Source organism: Homo sapiens, chromosome 19 (assembly GCF_000001405.40).
Source record: "Homo sapiens chromosome 19, GRCh38.p14 Primary Assembly".
Taxonomy (NCBI): Eukaryota; Metazoa; Chordata; class Mammalia; order Primates; family Hominidae; genus Homo; species Homo sapiens.
This window is the reverse complement of record NC_000019.10, coordinates 21594803-21617210: the sequence shown is the minus strand read 5'-3', so window position 1 is coordinate 21617210 and position 22408 is coordinate 21594803. Positions and strand designations below refer to the sequence as shown.

Here is a 22408-nt window from a genome sequence, read left to right as displayed (position 1 = left end):
AAATTAGCCAGGCATGGTGCCGCATGCCTGTGATCCCAGCTATTCGGGAGGTTAAGGCAGAAGAATCGCTTGAATCCGGGAGGCGGAGGTTGTGGTGAGCCGAGATTGAGCCATTGCACTCCAGTCTGGGCAACAAGAGCGAAACTCCATCTCAAATAAAAATAAAAATAAAAAATAAGATTTTGCTGCAAGCCAAGTTAGGCTGGCAGAACAGAGTAGTGGATTTGAGGACCTGCTTGCCACACATTTGGAAAATGTAGGGGGACACCAGAGCCCCTGAATAAAGTTAAAATAATTAGATAGCAGGTAATTAGACTGGAATGGCTCTAGTGGTCTAGGTGCCTATGTAACAACAACAAAAAAAATCTAACTCAAATGCATTTTGTGTAAGTTACTACCTTAGGAGAAAACAAAATTCAGACTTAATCAACCATAAATCTCCAATTAATCCCTGATTACATAACCAGAAAATCTTCTCCTGGACACTCCAAATGAAGCGACTACCTAACTGTATCCAATCAGCTATTTAATTTGCTTTGCTTTCTCATACACCTTATAGGAGCCTTTTCTTCAAGACCCGCTGGTAGCCCCCAAACCACAAACCATGTCTGAGGGCTGTCCTATTGATTAACACTGTTTCTGCATATTAACTTTTTTTTTTTTTGAGACGGAGTTTCACTCTTATTGCCCAAGCTGGAGTGCAATGGCGCGATCTCGGCTCACTGCAACATGCGCCTCCTGGGATCAAGCGATTCTCCTGTCTCCGCTTCCCGAGTAGCTGGGATTACAGGCATGCAGCACCACGCCCGGCTAATTTTGTATTTTTACTAGAGATGGGGATTCTCAAGGTTGCTCAGACTGGTCTCGAACTCCCAACCTCAGGTGATCCACCCGCCTTGGTCTCCCAAAGTGCTGGGATTACAGGCATGAGCCACCATGCTCAGTCTCTCCTGTTAAAAATTAAAGGGAGTCAATGTTAAAACGTTAACAAGTTTATTTGAGCAAACAGTGATTGGTGAAATGGAAAGCACCCAGCCATGATTTGAGGTCCACCTGAGGGGCATAAAGAAAAGGGTTTTAGGCCGGGCGCGGTGGCTCACGCCTGTAATCCCAGCACTTTGGGAGGCCGAGGCAGGCGGATCACGAGGTCAGGAGATCGAGACCATCCCGGCTAAAACGGTGAAACCCCATCTCTACTAAAAATACAAAAAATTAGCCGGGCATAGTGGCGGGCGCCTGTAGTCCCAGCTACTTGGGAGGCTGAGGCAGGAGAATGGCGTGAACCCGGGAGGCGGAGCTTGCAGTGAGCCGAGATCCCGCCACTGCACTCCAGCCTGGGCGACAGAGCGAGACTCCGTCTCAAAAAAAAAAAGAAAAGGGTTTTATAAAGTGTGTCAGAAGGCAAACCAGATTCAATAATTGGTTACAGTTATGTTGTCACCTTATTTGTATGATCCAGGTAGAAATTTCCTGGTTATGTAATCAGGTTAATTGCAGGTTTATGATTGGATAAGCCTGAATTTTGTTTCTGCCTAAGAGTAATTTATAAGACATGCATTTGAGTTAGGTTTTAGATTTTTTACCAATGAACACAGGGCACTAGAGCCACTTCAGTCTAAGTTCGTGCTCTTTAATGATTTTTAACACTCCACAGAAGGACTGGTTTTTTTTTTTTTTTTTTTTTTTTAGTATTTATTGATCATTCTTGGGGGATTTGGCAGGGCCATAGGACAATAGTGGAGGGAAGGTCAGCAGATAAACATGTGAACAAGGGTCTCTGCTTTTCCTAGGCAGAGGACCCTGCGGCCTTCCGCAGTGTTAGTGTCCCTGGGTACTTGAGATTAGGGAGTGGTGATGACTCTCAAGGAGCATGCTGCCTTCAAGCATCTGTTTAACAAAGCACATCTTGCACCGCCCTTAATCCATTTAACCCTGAGTGGACACAGCACATGTTTCAGAGAGCACGGGGTTGGGGGTAAGGTCATAGATCAACAGCATCCCAAGGCAGAAGAATTTTTCTTAGTACAGAACAAAATGGAGTCTCCTATGTCTACTTCTTTCTACACAGACACCGTAACAATCTGATTTCTCTTTCTTTTCCCCACATTTCTCCCTTTTTCTATTCGACAAAACCGCCATCATCATCATGGCCTGTTCTCAATGAGCTGTTGGGTACACCTCCCAGACGGGGTGGCGGCCGGCCGGAGGGGCTCCTCACTTCCCAGATGGGGCGGCTGCCGGGCGGAGGGGCTCTTCACTTCTCAGACGGGTGGCAGGGCAGAGGTGCTCCTCACATCCCAGATGGGGCGGCGGGGCAGAGGTGCTCCCCACATCTCAGACGATGGGCGGCCGGGCAGAGACGCTCCTCACTTCCCAGATGGGATGGCAGCCGGGAAGAGGCACTCCTAACTTTCCAGACTGGGTGGCCGGGCAGAGGGGCTCCTCACATCCCAGATGATGGGCGGCCAGGCAGAGATGCTCCTCACTTCCCAGACGGGATGGCGGCCAGGCAGAAGCTGCAATCTCGGCACTTTGGGAGGCCAAGGCAGGCGGCTGGGAGGTGGAGGTTGTAGCGAGCCGAGATCACGCCACTGCACTCCAGCCTGGGCAACATTGAGCACTAAGTGAGCGAGACTCCGTCTGCAATCCCGGCACCTCGGGAGGCCGAGGCTAGCAGATCACTCGTGGTCAGGAGCTGCAGACCAGTCCGGCCAACACGGCGAAACCCTGTCTCCACCAAAAAATACAAAAACCAGTCAGGTGTGGCGGCGCGCGCCTGCAATCCCAGGCACTCCGCAGGCTGAGGCAGGAGAATCAGCCAGGGAGGTTGCAGTGAGCCGAGATGGCGGCAGCACAGTCCAGCCTCGGCTGGGCGTCAGAGGGAGACCGTGGAGAGAGAGGGAGAGGGAGAGGGAGAGCAGGACTGGTTTTCTTCTGTGTCTTCCTAATGTATGGCAATCAGGGCCTCTAATCCACCACTCTTTTCCCCTAGCCTAACTCAGGCTTGCAGTAAAATTATACATTTCCACTTTCATTCCTACATTCTCAAATGTAGAAAAGAAAAGTAGAAAATAATCCTCTGACACTTCACTGTAAAAAAAAAAAATCTGTGTGCCTCTCTTCCTTTTATCTTCCCTAGGCACACACACCTTATTAGTATGTCTTTGGGTTGCAGTTTTGCTTTGGAGAAATTACAGGGCTCTTTACAGCAGCCCTCCGGTCTTTTCTTGTTCATGAGTATTAGAACTGTCTGGGATAACCCAAGATGCCCATAATGGCCATATCTCTTGGAGTGTCTAATGAATATCATCCCCTGGGTCATCTCTTAGAGGACAGTCTGAGGAATAAGAGTGTAGCCTCTCAGAGGAGCAGCTGGATGGCCTGGGCCTGAGGACAGTCTCTTGGTATACCATTTGCCTAAAAAACTAACCTCTTAGAACATTGAGATTTTTGTTTTTCTCAAAGGAACACTTATACACTGTTGGAGGGAGTGTAAATTAGTTCAACAACTGTGGAAGACAGTATGGTGATTCCTCAAAGACCTAAAGACAAATACCATTTGACCCAGCAATCTTGTTATTGGGTATATAGCCAAAGAAATATAGATTCTTCTGTTATAAAGACATGCATGTGTATGTTCATTGCAGCACAATTCACAATATTAAAGACATGGAATCAACCTAAATGCCCATCAATGATAGACTGGATAAAGAAAATGTGGTACATATACACCATGGAATACTATGCAGCCATAAAAAATGAGGTCATGTCCTTTGCAAGAACGTGGATGGAGCAGGGGGCCATTATCCTTAGCAAATTAACACAGGAACAGAAAACTAAATACTACATATTCCCACTTATAAGTAGGAGTTGAATGGTGCGAACACATGGACAAATAGAGTGGAACAACACATACTAGGGCCTATTAGGAGGAGAGAGAGGATCAGAAAAAACAACTAATGGGTACTAGGCTTAATACCTGGATGATGAAATAATCTGCACAACAAACTCCCATGACACATATTTACCTATGTAAGAAACCTACACATGTACCCCTGAACTTAAAAGAACTTAAAAAAAATTAAAAAATAAAAAGAATTTGGTAGCTTTTCCAATAATTCCCTGAGAGCATTTTGATTCCATGTGTATACATATATAACACCTATTATGTATCAGATATTTGGATTACATAAATGAGTAGGGTTCAACATATCTGCCCCATTTATAGTCCATTAGTGTGGATAGATGCATAAATGATTAATTTATTCTGGAGAATAATGCTTGTACATAAAAAGATATAAGGTATTGAGGCAGCCAAATGGTAGTAGTGATTAATTCTCCCCCTGAGATAGCAGTGAGGGAAATCAAGGAGGGTTTTATAGAGGAGGTGACATCTGAGTGGGTGTCAGAGTTTAACAGAAGCTTTTGTGTCAATGTTGATGCAGAGTATACCATTTTAAAGAAATTATTTTTTAGGCCACATGCAATGGCTCATGCCTGTAATCCCAGCACTTTTGGAGGTTGAGGCAGGCAGATCACCTGAGATCAGGAGTTCTGTAGTGGGATATTTTAAGGAATCAGAGATACTGAGGGATTGAGGAGGATATTTATTATTTAGGTGCACCGACCCAGTCAGATTTACATCCAAAGGACTGAGCCCTGAACAAAGAGCTAAGTCACCTTTTAAGCATTTTGTGGGGCAGGGGGAGATCTGTGCAGGGGGAAGCATATTACAGAAGTGAGAAACAAAGAGAGTTATTCAATTAATTGAAACATGCATTACATCATTTCTTACTTTTCAAGGAAAAACATGTTTTATGACTTGAGTTGATCTGTCTAGTGATCTTGCAGCTGCACAGCTAGAGAAACAGAGTCTTCACAATGCCTGGGAAAGAAGAGATAAGGCTCACTAGCCACAGAAAAACAGGCAGTTAATTTTTAAAGGACTCCAGCTCTTTCTCTTTCTCATACATACAACCGAGTTTCTGTTTACACATTCTTTAATTTCTTTTTATTCCTGTTCCATTCCTCCCTTTGGTGCTTTTTATAACAAAGATGTTAACAGAAAGCACCACTATCTGTCACCTCTTCACAGGGCTGTGCTTCTTCTTCTACTGGCAGTGGCTGATAATCTTGTTAATGCCATCAACTGCACGGTAGTTTTTTTGGTTACTATTGCCTCTATAGTTGACTGAATACTCCTAATAAACAGAGGTAAAAGGCAAGGGAGGATGAGGCAGATGCCAAAAATAAGCAAGAACCCACCAATGAGGGTTTTAATTTTTTTTTTTTTAAGGTTGAGAACCATCCTCCAAACAAGGAATCCAGGGACCACCCAGATCAAGTTTGAACTGGAACATAGGTGAACTCGTGCATTCTAGCTGTGATTTCCATGACAGCTCGGTCATTATCATCAATTTCTAGGCAACAGTTGGTTAAATTAAAATTTTCACATACTCCTCCTTCTGAGGCTAATAGGTAATCTAAACCCAGCCTATTTTGATATATGGCATGCCTCATTTGTGTTGCTTGTATTGCCAATAAATCTAGTGCCCTTGAGGTTTCATTGGTTATAATTTCAAGGACTGCCTGCAACCTTATGATGCGGTTGAGCATATAGATTGGGGTACGGTACCTCCATGACCCATCTTGCGCCTAGGTAGCTGGCCCATAACATTTAATGATTCTTTCAGGAGGCCATTTATTATCTTTCTAGTTTCCTATGTCCACATCTTTTTTGATATTTGTGTCTCTTTTTGTTATTATGCTTCTAGTTGTTTTTTTATTTTTATCATAAACTGGATACCCTAAGAGTTCCTCTTGCTTTAGAGGAATTAGAAAGAATGATGGCTTGATTGTTCCTAACGCACATGCCCCTGTCCATTTAGCTGGCAGTTGCTGATATGCCTGTGCTCCACAGATCCAATATAGGCCAGAGGGTGCCTTTCAAGAATTTGGAGCCTCTAGCTGATGCCAAGTGTGGCTTAGAGTAGAGAATTGAGAGAAAGGGTTTGGATCTCCATAGAGTTTTGTTTTTAGTCTCATCACAATACTGTTGCCCTAGGCAGGTTGTTTCTCACACTGCCTCTGTGAAAGCCTTTCCTCATCGGGTGATACAGTACTTTCCAATTATGGAGGTAGTTGACAACCAAACACTGGCTGAGGCTGTTGGTTCACTGGCAGTGTTAAGTGAAGGGATCTTGTGGCATTAATTCCTTTGCCTCCCATGGCCACTGGTCTTCCATATTAGTTCTTCTACATACATAGCATGAGGAAATTCCTAAGCTGCCAGCTATGTTTTCAGCTAGTTGAGCAAATAAGTTTTTGGTTGATGGGGGGAAGCTTCAGCATTGACTGATCAAAATGCTTATAGAATGACTTATGGACCTGGAATTGTGGGGTTGGATACATTTGAGTCCTTCTAGTCTTTTTGACAATTAGTAGTGGAACTCCAAGTTCTGCTCCTTGTCTATCAACTCATAATAGTGTCATCTGTCCTGTAGACCAAGAAGGTAGCTCTGGCTTTAAGATAGTAAAATTTAAAGGATTGTATGTTCTTGTCTTACAATCTGGTTTGGTTGACATACTAATTAGCAGAGCAGTCCTTCCTGAATGTAAGTGTTGGAGCTGTGTTAGCATAGACCACTGAATGTTCAGTCTCGACATCTGATTTGTGGTTTTCTGTACAGATGTTTAGGACTGTTGCTGCTAAGTCTCTCTTGTGTTAAACTATTGCAGACTGTTTCCGGTTGTATGTGCAGGTTCCTAACTTTGTTCCTGTACATTCATAGTCAGTAACGTACAGTAGAGGTTTAACTAGGGTATTCCTTATCCAGGTAGTGTGTACACAGTGTGGGCATTCTTCTAGGGATTTCTCCCCTTCTAGTATAGGCAGAAATGGTAACAACGTCAGTGTATGTAATAGAAACATGCTTACACTACACATGGGCATGGCAAACCTTCCTCTGGGCATAGACGTTTGCAGTATTTGCAGTAATAACATAACAACAGAACAATCAGTATTGACAGAATTATAACTAGGCTTATAAATTGTATCCACATTTACTTATCCGGAGATTGTCCCCTTAGCTTTGGCTGTGCGTAGACTAGTCAGCTTCCAGGATGTGACTAGAGCAGAGCTTACAGGATCCTCAAGCTTCAGCCGTGCATAGACTGACCAGCCTCCAGTGTGGTCAGAGCAGGGCAGTTGTCCTTCTTACCGGTGGTTGGGTTTCACCATGGGACTATTCGGGTGGGGCAATCTGGGTCTTGTTGGCTAATCCACTGTTCGTCGTTGGGAGTCACTGCTGCCACTGGTTTCAGCCGACTATGGTGAATCCAAGGTGTGAAACGTGCAACTTTAACAGCAGTGGGACTAGGCATGATCACGATATGGGGCCTATCCTATATGGGTCCTAGTGTGGTTGGATTCCATTTTTTTTCCTTTTTTTTTTTTTTTGAGATGGAGTCTCGCTCTGTCGCCGAGGCTGGAGTGCAGTGGCGCAATCTCAGCTCACTGCAAGCTCCACCTCCTGGGTTCACGCCATTCTCCTGCCTCAGACTCCTGAGTAGCTGGGACTACAGGGGCCCGCCATCATGCCGGGCTAATTTTTTGTATTTTTAGTAGAGATGGGTTTTCACCGTGTTAGCCAGGATGGTCTCGATCTCCTGACCATGTGATCCACCTGCCTTGGCCTCCCAAAATGCTTGGATTACAGGCGTGAGCCACCACACCCTGCCTCCATTTTTTAACTTAAACAAAATCCTTAGGTTTGAAAGGGTGTACTGGGTCTGTTTGACTTATAGGCATTTTTTTTCTATACCTAGCCATGCATTTTTGCATGGCCATACTTAAAGCCTGAATTTGCCTTCTTAAAGTTAGTTCTTCTAGTTTACAGAGATTACCTTTAATCTGACTTATGATGGGGGGTGGCTGGCTGAATAAAATCTTACAGGGCGAATACCCAGTTGTTTGGTGGGAGTGCACCTGACTCGGAGGAGGACAACAGACAAGACCTGATCCTACTTTTGATGAGTTTGACAAAATTTCTTCAGCAGCTGTTTGAGTGTCTGGTTTATGCACTCCACTTTACCTGAGCTCTGCGGCCTGTAGGCTGTATGTAATTTCCACTTTATTTTAATAGTCAAGTAAAGTCCTGAACTATTTCAGCCACAAATGTTGGTCCATTGTTTGATCTTAGAGTTAGAGACAGTCCAAATCTGGGAATAATGTCTTTTAACAACACCTTGGTCACCTCTAGTGCCTTCCCTGTCTGGGTGAGGAAGGCCTTGACTTATCCTGAAAAGGTGCAAATGAACACCAACATGTACTGATAGCCCTCCCTCTCAGGGCAATTAGGTGAAGTCTATAAGCAGTTTTTCACAGGGCACGGCTCCCTGGCTCCTGTTTCCTGAACTCCCAGGGGCGGAGTAGGCCCTCCTTGTCATGGATTGTTCTGAGTGCAAGTTAAACACTGTTTGTTTACAAATGGCTTGAGTAATAGCAGTGAGCCATGGTGCATAGAAATGATGCCTTAATAATGTCTTTAGTGCTGTTTTTTTTTTTTTATGTGAGTTCTTTGGTGGAATTGTTTTACAAATCTGGAGGTCACCATTTCTGGTATGGCTAGCCTCCCACTGGAGAATTTTTACCATCTTCCTTTAGTGTAGTTCTTATTTTTCTGGGCAAAACAAGCCCTTTCACTTGGAGCATAGCTTGGGATCTCCGGGAGGGGAATCTCTGGGAAGAGAAGCATAGCTAAGACTTCCTCTTTAGAAGGTGGAGTTGTCATTGCAGCCTGCTTTGCCTCTTTGTCTGCTTTTTTATTTTTATTTTTTTAGCCTTTAGTGTTCTTCCTTTTTTGGTTCCCCTTGCAGTGCATCACTGCCACCTCTTTTGGGTCCTATACAGCATTTAAGAGCTGTAGAATTTCTTCCTTGTACTTTATTTCTTTACTTTCAGCAGTTAAAAGTCTTTTTTCTTTGTAAATCACCTCATGAACATGCAAAGTGGCAGAAGCATATTTGGAATCTGTGTAAATATTTGTCTTTTGGTCTTTTGCTAGCCAGAGAGCTCTTGTCAGAGATATTAGCTCTGCTTTCTAAGCAGAAGTTTCTGTAGGCAGAGACTGCACCTCTACTACTGAGTCCAAAGTCACCACTGCATACCCAGCTCGGCAGACTCCCTTTAGTGATTTTAGTGAAAATCACTGATTTTCAGCAGCCTCAGGGTTAAATGGAGTGCACAATCAAAATGCCTTACAAAGTCTTTCATAAAACTTTAGTATGAAACTGCTTCCATCAGTAAAATATTTAATGTCCAGTTTCCCTGAGGGGCTATCAAATCTCTCTGGCTTGAGAAAACTTCATCTATCATGTTGACACAGAAATGAAAGGGGTCTCCTGGCACTGACTTGATGAGGAGCAATGTAGCCAGGTTTAGGCTATTCACAGTCTCTAAAGTCAGTTTATTAGCTTCTTGCACCAGTAGGGCAGTGGCAGCTAGTGCTTTAATAGCTTTAAAACAAAGAGGCCATCCAAGTGCCACAAAGTCTAATTGCCTGGATAAGTATGTCACTGGGTGATGCCATAAACTTATGGCTTGAGTTAGAACCCTTATGGCCTCCCTTTCACTTGTGGACATACAAGAAGATAGGCTTAGTTAGTTTATCCGGCAGTCCTAAAGCTGGGGCCTGAGTCAAGCTTTTTTGATTTCTTTAAACCCCTTCTCCTGGGAGCGTCTCTGCCCGGCCGCCATCCCATCTAGGAAGTGAGGAGCGTCTCTGCCCGGCCCCCCATCGTCTGAGATGTGGGGAGCGCCTCTGCCCCGCCGCCCCGTCTGGGAGGTGAGGAGCGTCTCTGCCCGGCCGCCCCGTCTGAGAAGTGAGGAGCCCCTCCGCCCGGCAGCCGCCCCGTCTGAGAGGTGAGGAGCCCCTCCGCCTGGCAGCCGCCCGGTCTGGGAAGTGAGGAGCGTCTCCGCCCGGCAGCCACCCCATCCGGGAGGGAGGTAGGGGTCAGCCCCCCGCCCGGCCAGCCGCCCCATCTGGGAGGGAGGTGGGGGGTCAGCCCCCGCCCGGCCAGCCGCCCCGTCTGGTAGGTGGGGGGTGCCTCTGCCCGGCCGCCTCTACTGGGAAGTGAGGAGCCCCTCTGCCCGGCCACCACCCCGTCTGGGAGGTGTACCCAACAGCTCATTGAGAACGGGCCATGATGACAATGGCGGTTTTGTGGAATAGAAAAGGGGGAAAGGTGGGGAAAAGATTGAGAAATCGGATGGTTGCTGTGTCTGTGTAGAAAGTAGTAGACATGGGAGACTTTTCATTTTGTTCTGTACTAAGAAAAATTCTTCTGCCTTGGGATGCTGTTGATCTATGACCTTACCCCTAACCCTGTGCTCTCTGAAACATGTGCTGTGTCCACTCAGGGTTAAATGGATTAAGGGTGGTGCAAGATGTGCTTTGTTAAACAGATGCTTGAAGGCAGCATGCTCGTTAAGAGTCATCACCACTCCCTAATCTCAAGTACCCAGGGACACAAACACTGCGGAAGGCCGCAGGGTCCTCTGCCTAGGAAAACCAGAGACCTTTGTTCACTTGTTTATCTGCTGGCCTTCCCTCCACTATTGTCCTATGACCCTGCCAAATCCCCCTCTGCGAGAAACACCCAAGAATGATCAATTTAAAAAAAAAAAAAAAAAAAAGATAAGCTCCATGGCATCTGCCATGAAAGGCTCTGGCATCTGCCACGAAAGGCTCTACCCACATCAAAGGTGTTCCTTGCAAGACCACTGGACTGCCTGGCCCAGACCAGGAGATTCTTTTTGTCTCTGTTGCTCTTCATGGACTGGTTCATTAACCTTTTTTTCCCATTTCTTTTCTCTTGATGTTAAATGTTATTTTGTTTGTTGTAGATGTTTAACCCATAACATTTATATATTGATTAGGTGTACTATTATGTATAATTTGCAATATAGAGTGACTTGTGGAGTGGCTTCAAAAAAAAATAAATAAATAAAAGCCTTCTCCTGGTTGGCCTCCTAGAGGAGAGGCTCTTTCTTTCCTCCTCTTTGTGGCTTTGTATAATGGCTTAGCCATGAGCAAGAAATTTGGGATCTAAATGTGGCAGAACCTTGCTGCCCTTAGGAACTCTCTTATTTGACACCAGGTTGTTGGAGTAGGAAGTACACAAACAGCCTGCTTTTGTTTACTACTAAGCCATCTTTCCTCTTGGTTTATATAAAAGCTTAAATACTGGACACTTTTAGAGCAGATTTGAGCTGTTTTCTGATACTTTATATCCTGCCTTTCACAGCAGGTGCAGGGGGTCTTGGGTTTTTCCTGGGTGCAGTAGCCCTTGGCCGGTGGTTTTTTTTTTTCATACCATGGCCTTGACAATTCTCCTTATTCTTTTTATGTTTTTGAGATGGAGTCTTGCTCTGTCACCCAGGCTGGAGTGCAGTGGCGCGATAGCTCACTGCAAGCTCCGCCTCCAGGGTTCACGCCTTTCTTCTGCCTCAGCCTCCCGAGTAGCTGGGACTACAGGTGCCTGCCACCATGCCCGGCTTTTTTTTTTTTTTTTTTTTTTTTTTTTTGTATTTTTAGTAGAGACAGGGTTTCACCGTGTTAGCCAGGATGGTCTCGACCTCCTGACGTCGTGATCCACCTGCCTCGGCCTCCCAAAGTGCTGGGATTACAAGCGTCAGCCACCATGCCCGGCCCATTCTCCTTATTCTTTTGACGTGTATCCTTCTAGTGTCCTTTCCTTTTGCACCGTGCACATAAATCTCTCTCTAGCCTTGGCCAGCTTTCAAACTCCTGTCCGGACTAGCCTTTTCCGTGACTGTGTTCACGCCTGCGTCCATGCCTCTTTGCAAAGCCAGCTTCTCTTCCCACAAGGGCTGCTGCTAGTAAATTAGCCTTTCTTAAGCCTCTGATCAGCTTTCTTCTTTGCCTCCTGATCTCGTTAATGTACACCCTGGTAGCCACTTTAATAAGCTGAGTAGCATTCATGCCTACAGAGCTTCTAACTTCTGCAATTTATGCCTGATATCTCCTTGGGTCTGCCTTACAAATGCCGTATTCACCTTGCACTGATTTTCAGCAGCCTCAGGGTTAAATGGAGTGTGCAACCAAAATGCCTTACAAAGTCTTTCATAAAACTGGCTGGTGCTTTTATCTGCACCCTGGAGCACCTCTGAGATGTTTTATATTGGTTGCCTTTTTCTTTTACCATCCTTTAGCCTTTGCAGAAGTGCTTCTCGGCACTTTTGTGGGTGCTGAAGGTGGACTGCATCATCTGCATCCTGGTGGGGGTCCTCTTGTCCTTTTTAGAGGCAGAAGCATAACTTGGGCATGGCTCGACCTGAGATGGCCTGCCTGACTTTTCCAGCCTTTCGCTTTAACTTCCCAGAGCTCTGATTTCTCTTTCTCGGGTGAGACTGGGAGCCTGTATCTCTTTGAACTTAACTCCTTAGGGGCAGTTAGCCTTGGTAAAGGGGGGTAGATTGGAATGTAGGGAGGAGGGGTCTCTATTCCCTCCTGTGGTTCTTGCAAAACTGGTTTTCTTTTTCCTAAGACTTTTCTTTTGTCTCCATAGCTGCCAGGGTGGCTGATTTTTACTTTCACTTTTGGCTTTCACTTTTTGCTTTTGGTGCTATAAGCCTCTGTGACTTTCCCTTTAACTCTGTAGCTGCCAGTGCAGCTGGTTTCTCTTGGCATGAGCTGTGAGCGTTCTACAATAAACTGCTAAGCAGGGCTGCATTCATTTAGCCATGAGTCAATATAAAGACTAGGTCTGAATGTCCTGGCTGTCCTCTGATCCTAGTCACCACCTTAAAACACATGGCCAATTTCTCTATAGTGCCTTCGGCCAGCCATCCAACACTAAAACAGGGCTATTCTAATTCACAGTATGTCTTTAACTTTTGAACATCCAGTTTCATCCCATAATCACCTCTAAATCCTTTTTTAAAAAAATTCTTTATCGTGCACTCCAAAGGAGTTGGTTTCAATGCTTTCCCTCTCATTTCCTCCCTTGCAGTGCACTCTCACTCTCATTTTCACCCTCAGGTTCACCAGACTGGGTCCTATTACAGGAGTTTTGGATGCTGCTTAGCCAGGAATGTGCCTTCCCCTGTCACAGCCTGCTGCAGCTGCAAAGCTGATCCTATCAGCCGTATGCAACATCCTAGGTTTGATTTTGCCTACACTCGCCTCAGAGCACACAGCCTGCACTAAGGGATCTGTGCCTCCCCACATCAGTCCCCATGTTGGCCTCTCCTGAGACCATCTCTTTCACACACTTTCACACACCTCCCCTGCCCCAGGACTCCTCACTGGATGAAATGAACCTCTCTTGTGTCCTGGGTGAGCCTAGTTAGGCTCCCACATTCACACACATAAACCCATCACTCCTACCCCAGGACTCCTCATCGGATGAAATGAGCCTCTCTCATGTCCCAGGTAGGTTCACATGCACCCACACACCCCCAGTTCCTGTCTCCAGATTCTGTGAACCATTTTCACTTTGTTAGTGGGGACACGAGGTTCAATCAAATTGGCAGGCCACTCCTGCTGCCCCCAGCCACTCTGGGTTGGATTAATGGTCAGTCCCCTTCATCCCTATGGGACGGGCTTTCCTGCCTTGGGCCACTACTCCTTATCGTGGTTCCTGAAGTGCTGGTATTGTCCTGCATCTCTGTCCCCAGTTCTGTTGCACTGCTGGGCAGGGCACCAGGACATGGGGAGAGCTGGTCTCCATCCAGGTGAAACCCCCTCATGGTGCGTCTTGGATGCTGGGTCTCCCCCATCCCCGGGGCCCTAGACACACTGGCAAAGGAGACAGTAAATCTATCATCTCCAAACCCAGATAAGCCCCCAGAAATGTTGCAGGATATTTTAAAGAATCAGGGAGACCGAGGGGTTGAGGAGGATATTTATTATTTAGGTTCACTGGCCTAGTCGGATTACATCCAAAGGACTGAGCCCTGAACAAAGAGCTAAGTTATCTTTTAAGCATTTTGTGGGGTTGGGGGAGATCTGTGCAGGGGGAAGCATATTACAGAAGCGAGAAAGAAAGACAGTTATTCAATTAATTGAGACATGCATTACATCATTCTTACTTTTCAAGGAAAAACATGTTTTACGACTTGAGTTTATCTGTCTAGTGACCTTGCAGCTGCACAGCTAGAGAAACAGTGCCTGGGAAAGAAGAGATAAGGCTCACTAGCCACAGAAAAACAGGCAGTTAATTTTTAAAGGACTCCAGCTCTTTCTCTTTCTCAGGGAGAATTGGGTTTTCTTACATACAGCTGAGTTTCTGTTTACACATTCTTTAATTTATTTTAATTCCTATTCCAGTTTAAGACCAACCTGGCCAACATGGTGAAACCCCGCCTCTACTAAAAGTATGAAAATTAGCCAGGCATAGTGGTGCATGCCTGTAGTCCCGCTACTGGGAAGGCTGAGGCACAAGAATCGCTTGAACCCAGTATGCGGAGGTTGCAGTGAGCCGAGATTGCGCCACTGCACTCCAACCTGGGTGATAGAGTGAGACTCCATCTCAAAATAAATAAATGAAATTATTATTTTTTTAATTTACCCCTTGACTCTGCAATGTATTTAGGATTTTCCTCCAATGAAATAAAAATGCACAAGTGTGCAAGCAGTTAAAAAAAGGGTTTTTTTAAACCCCAATTTTTATTCTTTGTAGACACATTGGTGATCAGCCAATCAGAGGTTCATATTGAGGAGAAAAGGCAGAAATAATTCCTGCCCTTTGGATTCATCAGATTTGTGAAGAAATAAATTTTTTTCCAAAGGACTAAGAAGAACCCATTTTAGTAAGGCAATGCAAGAACCTGCAAAACAAAATGTACCTGAGGCCCACAGTGGAGTACAGTACAGTTTCTCCTGGGAAGGTGATCACTGAGTAATTGAATGGGTAGGATGGGAATGGGAGAATGTTTTGAGTGATACCATGGTCTGACTTGACAGTTGAGTCAGACATGTTTGTGTTCCAATCGGCACTGCCACTCCCTGAGTTTGTCACCTTGGAAAGATTATTTTACTTATTTCAACTTCAGTTTTTTAATTACCTTAAATTACATTTTATTAGTAGAACTTAAGACATTTTACAAGAGTCAAGTACCCAGAAAGGTGGATTTCAGTAAAATCTAGTCATATATTTATTTCATTAAAGATTCTTATCTATCTTTATTATCCCCAGAGTGAGTGTAGTAAGTTTCTTATGTGTGTTCTTTTTGGGGGGTGATTTCAAGTAAAATTCCAGGGCTTTTCTTTGAAAATGCTACCAGAAGGCTGAGTGCGGTGGCTCACACCTATAATCCTTGCACTTTGGGAGGCTGAGGCAGGCAGATCACCTGAGGTTGGGAGTTCGAGATCAGCCTGATCAACACGGAGAAACCTCATCTCTACTAAAAATACAAACTTCGCTGGCCATGGTGGCCCATGCCTGTAATCCCTGCTACTCGGGAGGCTGAAGCAGGAGAATTGCTTGAACCTGGGAGGCGGAGGTTGCGGTGAGCTGAGATCAAGCTATTGCACTCCAGCCTGGGCAACAAGAGTGAAACTCTGTCTCAAAAAAAAACAAAAAAAACAAAAAAAAAACAAAAAAAAAAAAACCAAAGCTACCAGGGAAATAAATAGGAAAAATCGCTCTTGCATTATGGCTACAGAAAGTGATATATTTCCACAGCAAATGTGATAGATTAACTGGTGAATTGCATATATTTTTCAAAACATCAGCTCCCATTTTTTGCAGGGTCTAGAATTTGTAACAGTGGACATCTGTGTTCTGTATCCTGTGGTCTGGATGTCCAAGTTTAATGCTAAATTTTATGAGATGAGACTTAGCACCTTCTAGAAATGTTCCCATATGGTTATTTATTAAATTATTTATCATGGAAATATTTAAATGACACGTTTATTTTCTGAAAGAAATAGATACTAAGTGCCTTACAATTTCCTTACAATATTCTATAAACACTGTGTTTGAGTGATTTTGCTCTTTTCTTCAAACATTGAGCATTTTCTTATTTAAAACTAAGTGAATAACCCTGACTGGGAAGTAGAAGCCTGAATTCAGTGACTCCCCAAGCTAACAATAGTTTTGCCTGCAAAGGGAGATTATTGAAGGAGCAACCAGTTCTGCCTGAGGAGCCTCCCCTGCAGATGCCCTAGCCTGCTCACAATAGCCATGGACAGAGCCTTTTATACTTAGAGAAATGACAAAACCCTGAAAAGCTGGAAATCCTTAGGCAGACACAGTTGGGATTGGCATGAAAGTGGGGTTGGGAAGCTCTTTCTGAGGATGGAGTCGTTATTTTCCTGGGGCTATTTCTAGATTTTGTAAAATAAGACAAATTCAGATTTAGGTAAGAAGTTACATGATTTTAAAGGAGTATTGCAACAAAGGGAAAGCACCAACTATAAGATGCTGGAAGATCTCAAAAGTTAGGCAGAATAGGGCTTTCTTTCATAAGGAGGAGGAAACAGGACAGAAAGAAAGGTAGGAGGGGGAGGGAGGAATAAAACATGGTGAAATCAGGTCCCAGATCAGAGAATGTTTCACCCAGAAGTTAGCCTGTTGTATTTTTTGTTGTTGTTGTTTTTTTAAAGACCGAGTTTTGCTCTTGTTTCCCAGGCTGGAGTGCAATGGTGTGATCTCAGCTCACTGAAACCTCTGCCTCCCGGGCTCCAGCAATTCTCCTGCCTCAGCCTCCTCAGTAGCTGGGATTACAGGCATGCACCACCATGCCTGGCTAATTTTGTATTTTTAGTAGAGATGAGATTTCTCCATGCTGTTCAGGCTGGCCTCGAACTCCTAACCTCAGGTGATCCGCCCACCTTGGCCTCCCATAGTGCTGGGATTACAGGCATGAGCCACTACACCTGGCTAGCCTGTTCTTAAGAGGGGTATAAAGAGGAGTTGTGTGTCAGCTCAGAGTAAGTTCAGGTCAAAGTTTGGGAGCCTGAGGAAGGAAAGAAACTTAGACAAAGTTTGGTTAACAAGTATTTTGTTCTGACCACTGAAGACAAACTTATTATTTAATTGTTTATGAGACCCCCAAAAAAGGGAATTTAGAGTCTGTGGCTTTGTGATATCAAAAACAGGAAAGATGTTTCTTTGCAGTAAATGCTCTTGGAAAACACAAAGGATGGGGGATTTCTTTAATCACAGCTGTTGCTGTTACCTACCCACCCCATTCCCCCCCACCGCTTTTTCTTGCCATTTACATTTCTTCCATTTGGCTGTTCCTGACTTGTATCTTTATAATAAACTGGTAAATGCATGTATAGTGTTTTGTTGAGTTCTGTGAGTAGTTATATTAAGTTATTAAACTTGAGGAGCAGGTTATGGGAGCCCCCAATTTATAGGCAGTAGCTCAGAAGGATAGATGGGCCCCTAATAATCGCAGCTGGGATCTGCAGTGGGGGCAGTGTTGTGGGACTGAGCCCTGAACTTTTGGCGTCTGCGTTGACTCAGGATGGTATCAGAATTGAGTTATTATTGGACAACCAATTGGTGTTGGAGAATTGGTTGCTGTTAAAACTCTATACATTTGGTGTCAGGAAAAAATATCCCAGGGGTTTAGGCAGGAGGGAAACTCTGTTCCCCTGCACACAGTCTGTCACAATGCACATTGTCCTGTGATTCCAGATCTCCTCTCAGGGTAAAAGGGGACTGAGGACTTAGAAGAAAGGAGTTCTGAGAACAGACCCCCTGCCCCCAACCTGCTACCACACGATTCTCACCTACTTATGAACATACCCACTAGGAATAGATGTGGCCACACCCTCCACAAAACAAGACTTGACTATCAGGAATTATGTTTATAGGGCCTTTGCACCTAGAATTGCTCACCAAAAAATTCACACAAGTTCCTAGAGGACTCCTGGCTCTTTCCTACCCTTGATCCTCAAACAGCAGCAGCAACCTTTCCCTCCATCCACCTAGACCTGTGGACCACCAGTCATAATCTCATCTGCCTGTATGGACACAGGAACATGTCAGAATATAGCCCTGCCTGGGTTAGTGTCTGTAGCATAAACCAGTTCTCCCAGCTATTATGTACTGTCCCCCACTCATGGGTTCTTGATAACACCTTTCCCTCTATTGCCTTTCTTTTTTTTTTTTTTTTTTTTTGAGACAGAGTCCCACTCTATCGCCCAGGCTGGAATGCAGTGGTGGGATCTTGGCTCACTGCAACCTCCAACTCCTGGGTTCAAGCAATTCTCTTGCCTCAGCCTCCCAAATGGCTGCGATTACAGGTGCCCACCACCATGCCCAGCTATTTTTTTGTGTGTATTTTTAGAAGATACGGGGTTTCGCCATGTGGGTCAGGGTGGTCTTGAACTCCTGACCTCAGGTGACCCACCCACCTTGGCCTCCCAAAGTGCTGGGATTACAGGCATGAGCCACTGCGCCCAACCTCTTCTGCTTTTACTTCCCCATAAACCCTTCTGATGTGCACAGTATGCCCAAGGTCACCCCTCAGGTGCCTGAATCCAGCACCTACTAGAATTCAGATGTCCATGAAAAAAGAGATTTTTCTCTTCTCTTTTTTTAAACACATTCACTTTAGAAAACTTTTTTTTTTTTTAGAGATGGAGTCTCACTCTGTCACCCAGGCTAGAGTGCAGTGGTGTGATCTTGGCTCACTGCAACTTCTGCCATCCAGGTTCAAGTGGTTCTCCTGCCTCAGCCTCCTGAGTAGCTGGGATTACAGGCACCTGTCACTGCGCCCGGCTAAGTTTTGTAGTTTTTAGTAGAGATGGCGTTTCACCATCTTGGCCAGGCTGGTCTTGAATGCCTGACCTCATGATCCACCTGCCTTGGCCTCCCAAAATGCTGGGATTACAGGTGTGAGTCACCACGCCCAGCCCAGAAAACTTTTATACTTAAATTATTTTTCTGCCAACTTGAAATATATATAAATTATTCTAACTGCTAAATAGGTCTTTTGTGAGTATCTCTGACTCAGGACTGTCTTTCTCTAGGACCTGAAAATCATTTATTTAAAATGTAAATAGCAAAGAAAATAGAGCTCCATTCCACACTTTTTGTTGGAAGATAGGAGCCAACTTTCATCACGCACCTGGCTCCAAGTTTCCAAACTACCTCTCATGAAAGCATAAGTTTATTTTTCCTTTGAATATAGCCAATTAGCAACCAGAGATGACCTCCAATTTTCAGGGGAATTTAGGATAAATTGTATGTGACAAATTCCAGAGATATGTCACAATTCCCCCTGTCAGCAGGGTCCAAGCAGGAGATTCACATAACCTTTATGCTGGGCCCAGAAATATGTCACAATGCCTTCTGAGGGCAGGGCCAAGGCAAAACAAATAACATTACCTAGTCGTTGGGCCAAGCAAAAAGACACAATCTCCTCTGTGAGCAGAGCCTAGTAAGAAAAGTCACGTCAGCCAGGGGTTGGGTTCAGCGATATATCACCATCCCCTCTGTGATCAGGGACCAGGCAGGAGAAGAGAATCACATCACCACGGTGATGGGCACAGAGGTATGTCACAATGCCAGGGAGGCAGGGCCCCAGCAGGAGGGTTGTGTCACCAGCTTGTTGGACCCAGCAATATGTCACAGGAGAGCCACATAACCTGTGTGCAGGGCCCAGTGATATGTGAAAACACCCTCTGTATGCTGCGCCAAGGCAGTAGAATACAGTCCCATCTTCTAGGTGCTGCGTCCAGTGATACTCTATTCTCCAGTGCTAAGGCAGGAGAATAGAGTATCGTCACCTAGGTGCTGGGTCCAATGATATGTCACAATATGAAAAATATGCAGAGCCACGCAAAAGAAAAAACTTACATCATCTAGGTATTGAATGCAGTGATATGTCACAATCTCCTTTTTTCGGCATGGCCCAGGCAGAAGTGGTCAGTCACATCACCTAGGTGATAAAGAAAAGATATGTAATAATACCCCAGTGGGCATATGAATGAGAGTCACATCACGTAGGTGTCAAACCAAGCCATATGTCACAATACACAATAAATTCAGGGCCCATTCAGGAGAGTCAAATCCCGTAGGTGCTGGAAACAGTGATATATCACAATTTTTCCTTGGTCAGAAGCCAAGCATTAGAGAGGAGTCACATCGCCTAGGTGCTTGGTCCAGCAATATGTCACAATACCCTTGCACTATGCCCCCTGTGAATAGAAATCAGGAGGAAAAAGATGGTCACATCATCTAAATGATGGGCCCAGAGATAGGTCATAATGGCTCTTGTGTGCAGGAACCAGGCAGAAGAATCACATCAACATTGTCCTTGGCCCAGTGAGAAGTCACTCTCCCTTTTGTGGGCATGGCCCAGGCAGGAGAGGAGACTCACATTACCAAGATATGTCCCAGAGATATGTCACAATCTTTCCTATTTGCAAAGCCCAGGTAGAAGAGGAGAGTCACATCAAATAGTTGATGGGTCCAGACACATATCACAATGCCCCCTGTATGCAGGGCACAAGCAACTATCTCCCATTATTTAGGTGCTGGAGCCAGTGACATGTGAAAATAATCAAAATATGCAGGAACCAGGCAATAAAAGAGAGTCACATCATCCAGGTGCTAGGTTCAGTGGTATGTCAGAATCCCTACTTCAGCAGGGCCCAGGCACATGAAAAGAGTCACATAACCTAGATAATAAATATAAAGATATGTCATAATACCTCTGTGGGCAGAACCCATTGAGGAGAGTCACATTACCTTGATGTTGGACTCAGCCATGTGTCATAATACACAGTATATCCAGGGCTCAGGCAGAAGAGAAGAGTCACATCATCTAGTTGCTGGTCCAATTATATGTTGCAATCACTTGTTTTGGCAGAACCTAGGCAGAAAAGAAGAGTTATATCTGCTAGTTAATTGATGCAGAGATATGCCAAAAGGCCCCTTTTGGGCAGGTCCCAGGCAGGAGCCTCTCATGCCCTGGGTATTTGTTCCAGAGATTTGTCACAGTGCCAAATATGTGCAGGGCCCAGGCAAAACAGGAGAGTCACATCACTTAGGTGCTGAGTTCGGCGATATGTCACAATCACCCCTTTAGGCAGGGTCAAGACACAAAAAAGAGTCACGTCACCTAGGTGAGGAACAAAAAGATATGTCATAATACACCCGTAGGCGGGGCCCATGCTGAGGAGTCAGAACAACTAGGTGTTAGTACCCAGTGAAGTCACAATGTATAATTTATGCAGGGGGCCAGGTGCAGTGGCTCATGCCTGTAATCCCAGCACTTTGGGAGGCTGGGGTAAGTGGATCACTCGAGGTCAGGAGTTTGAGACCAGCCTGGCCAACATGGTAAAACCCCGTTTCTACTAAAAATACAAAAATTAGTTGGGTGTGGTGGCTCACGCCTGTAATCCTAGCTACTCGGGAGGCTGAGTCAGGAGAATCACTTGAACCTGGGCAGTGGAGGCTACAGTGAGCTGAGATGGCACCACAGCACTCCAGCCTGGGCAACAGAATGAGACTATCTCAAAAAAAAAAAAAAAAAAAACACAATTGATGCAGGGCCCAGGCAGAAGAGGAAAGTCACATAACACATAACCCAGGTGCTGGGTTCAGTGACCCATCACAATTCCTCCTTGAGTAAAGCCCAAGCAGTAGAGGAGAGTCACATTACCTAGGTCTGGATCCAGCCCTATGTCACAATACCTCCTAAAAAAAGAGCCCAGGCAGGTGAGTTCCATTACCTAGTAGATGGGCCAAGAGATATTTCCCAATGACCTCTGTAGATAGGGCTCAGAATCATCAAAAGAGTCATAGAACCTAGGGGCTAGGCCCAGCTGTATGTCACAATTACCCTAGTTGGCAGAGCCTTGATATGAGAGGAGAGTCACGTGACTTGGGTGCTGTGCACAACGATTTGTCACAATTATCTCTGCAAGAAAAGCCCAGGTATGGGAGACACACCACCTGGTTGGTGAACCCGGAGATATATCACAGTCTTCTGTGCGGGCATGGAGCAGCCAGAAGAGGAGAGTCACACTTCCAAAGTGATGGATGCAGAGATCTGTCTCAAGGTCTCCTGTGGGCAGGGCCTAGGCAAGAGCCTCCCCCTCCTTTGGTTTGACCCAGTGATATGTCATAATACCCAAAATACAAGAAGCCAAGGTGAAAAAGGAGAGCCATATCACCTAGATGCTGGGTCCAGTGATATGTCACGATCTCCCCTTTTTACAGTGTTTAGGCAGAAAGGGAGAGTCACATCACCTAGGTGAAAAAAAAATATGTCATAATAGCCCTATTAGCAGGACGCATGCAAAAGAGTTGCCTAACCTAGGTTTTGAAAATATGTCACAATAAACAATAAATGCAGGGCTTTGGAAGGAGAGGAGAGTCACATCAGTTAGGTGCTAGGACCAGTGATGCATCA

General features: G+C 45.1%; 1 long non-coding RNA gene across 7 annotated transcripts in view; it reads right to left on the bottom strand.

The window, feature by feature from the left end:
- LOC105372323 (uncharacterized) overlaps positions 1-22408 on the bottom strand; it is a 41604-nt gene that overhangs the window by 10766 nt on the left and 8430 nt on the right. Inside the window, exons 2-5 of one of the 7 annotated variants that reach the window (XR_001754059.2) lie at positions 20740-20863; positions 19846-19927; positions 4796-4885; positions 1332-2727 (exon numbers count right to left, since the gene is read on the bottom strand). This is a non-coding gene — a long non-coding RNA (uncharacterized LOC105372323). Of the gene's footprint in view, positions 1-1331; positions 2728-4795; positions 4886-13917; positions 19928-20739; positions 20864-21725; positions 22185-22408 lie in introns of those variants that run through there. The other 6 variants (XR_001754057.2, XR_001754061.2, XR_001754060.2 and 3 more) reach the window with 6 other exon arrangements.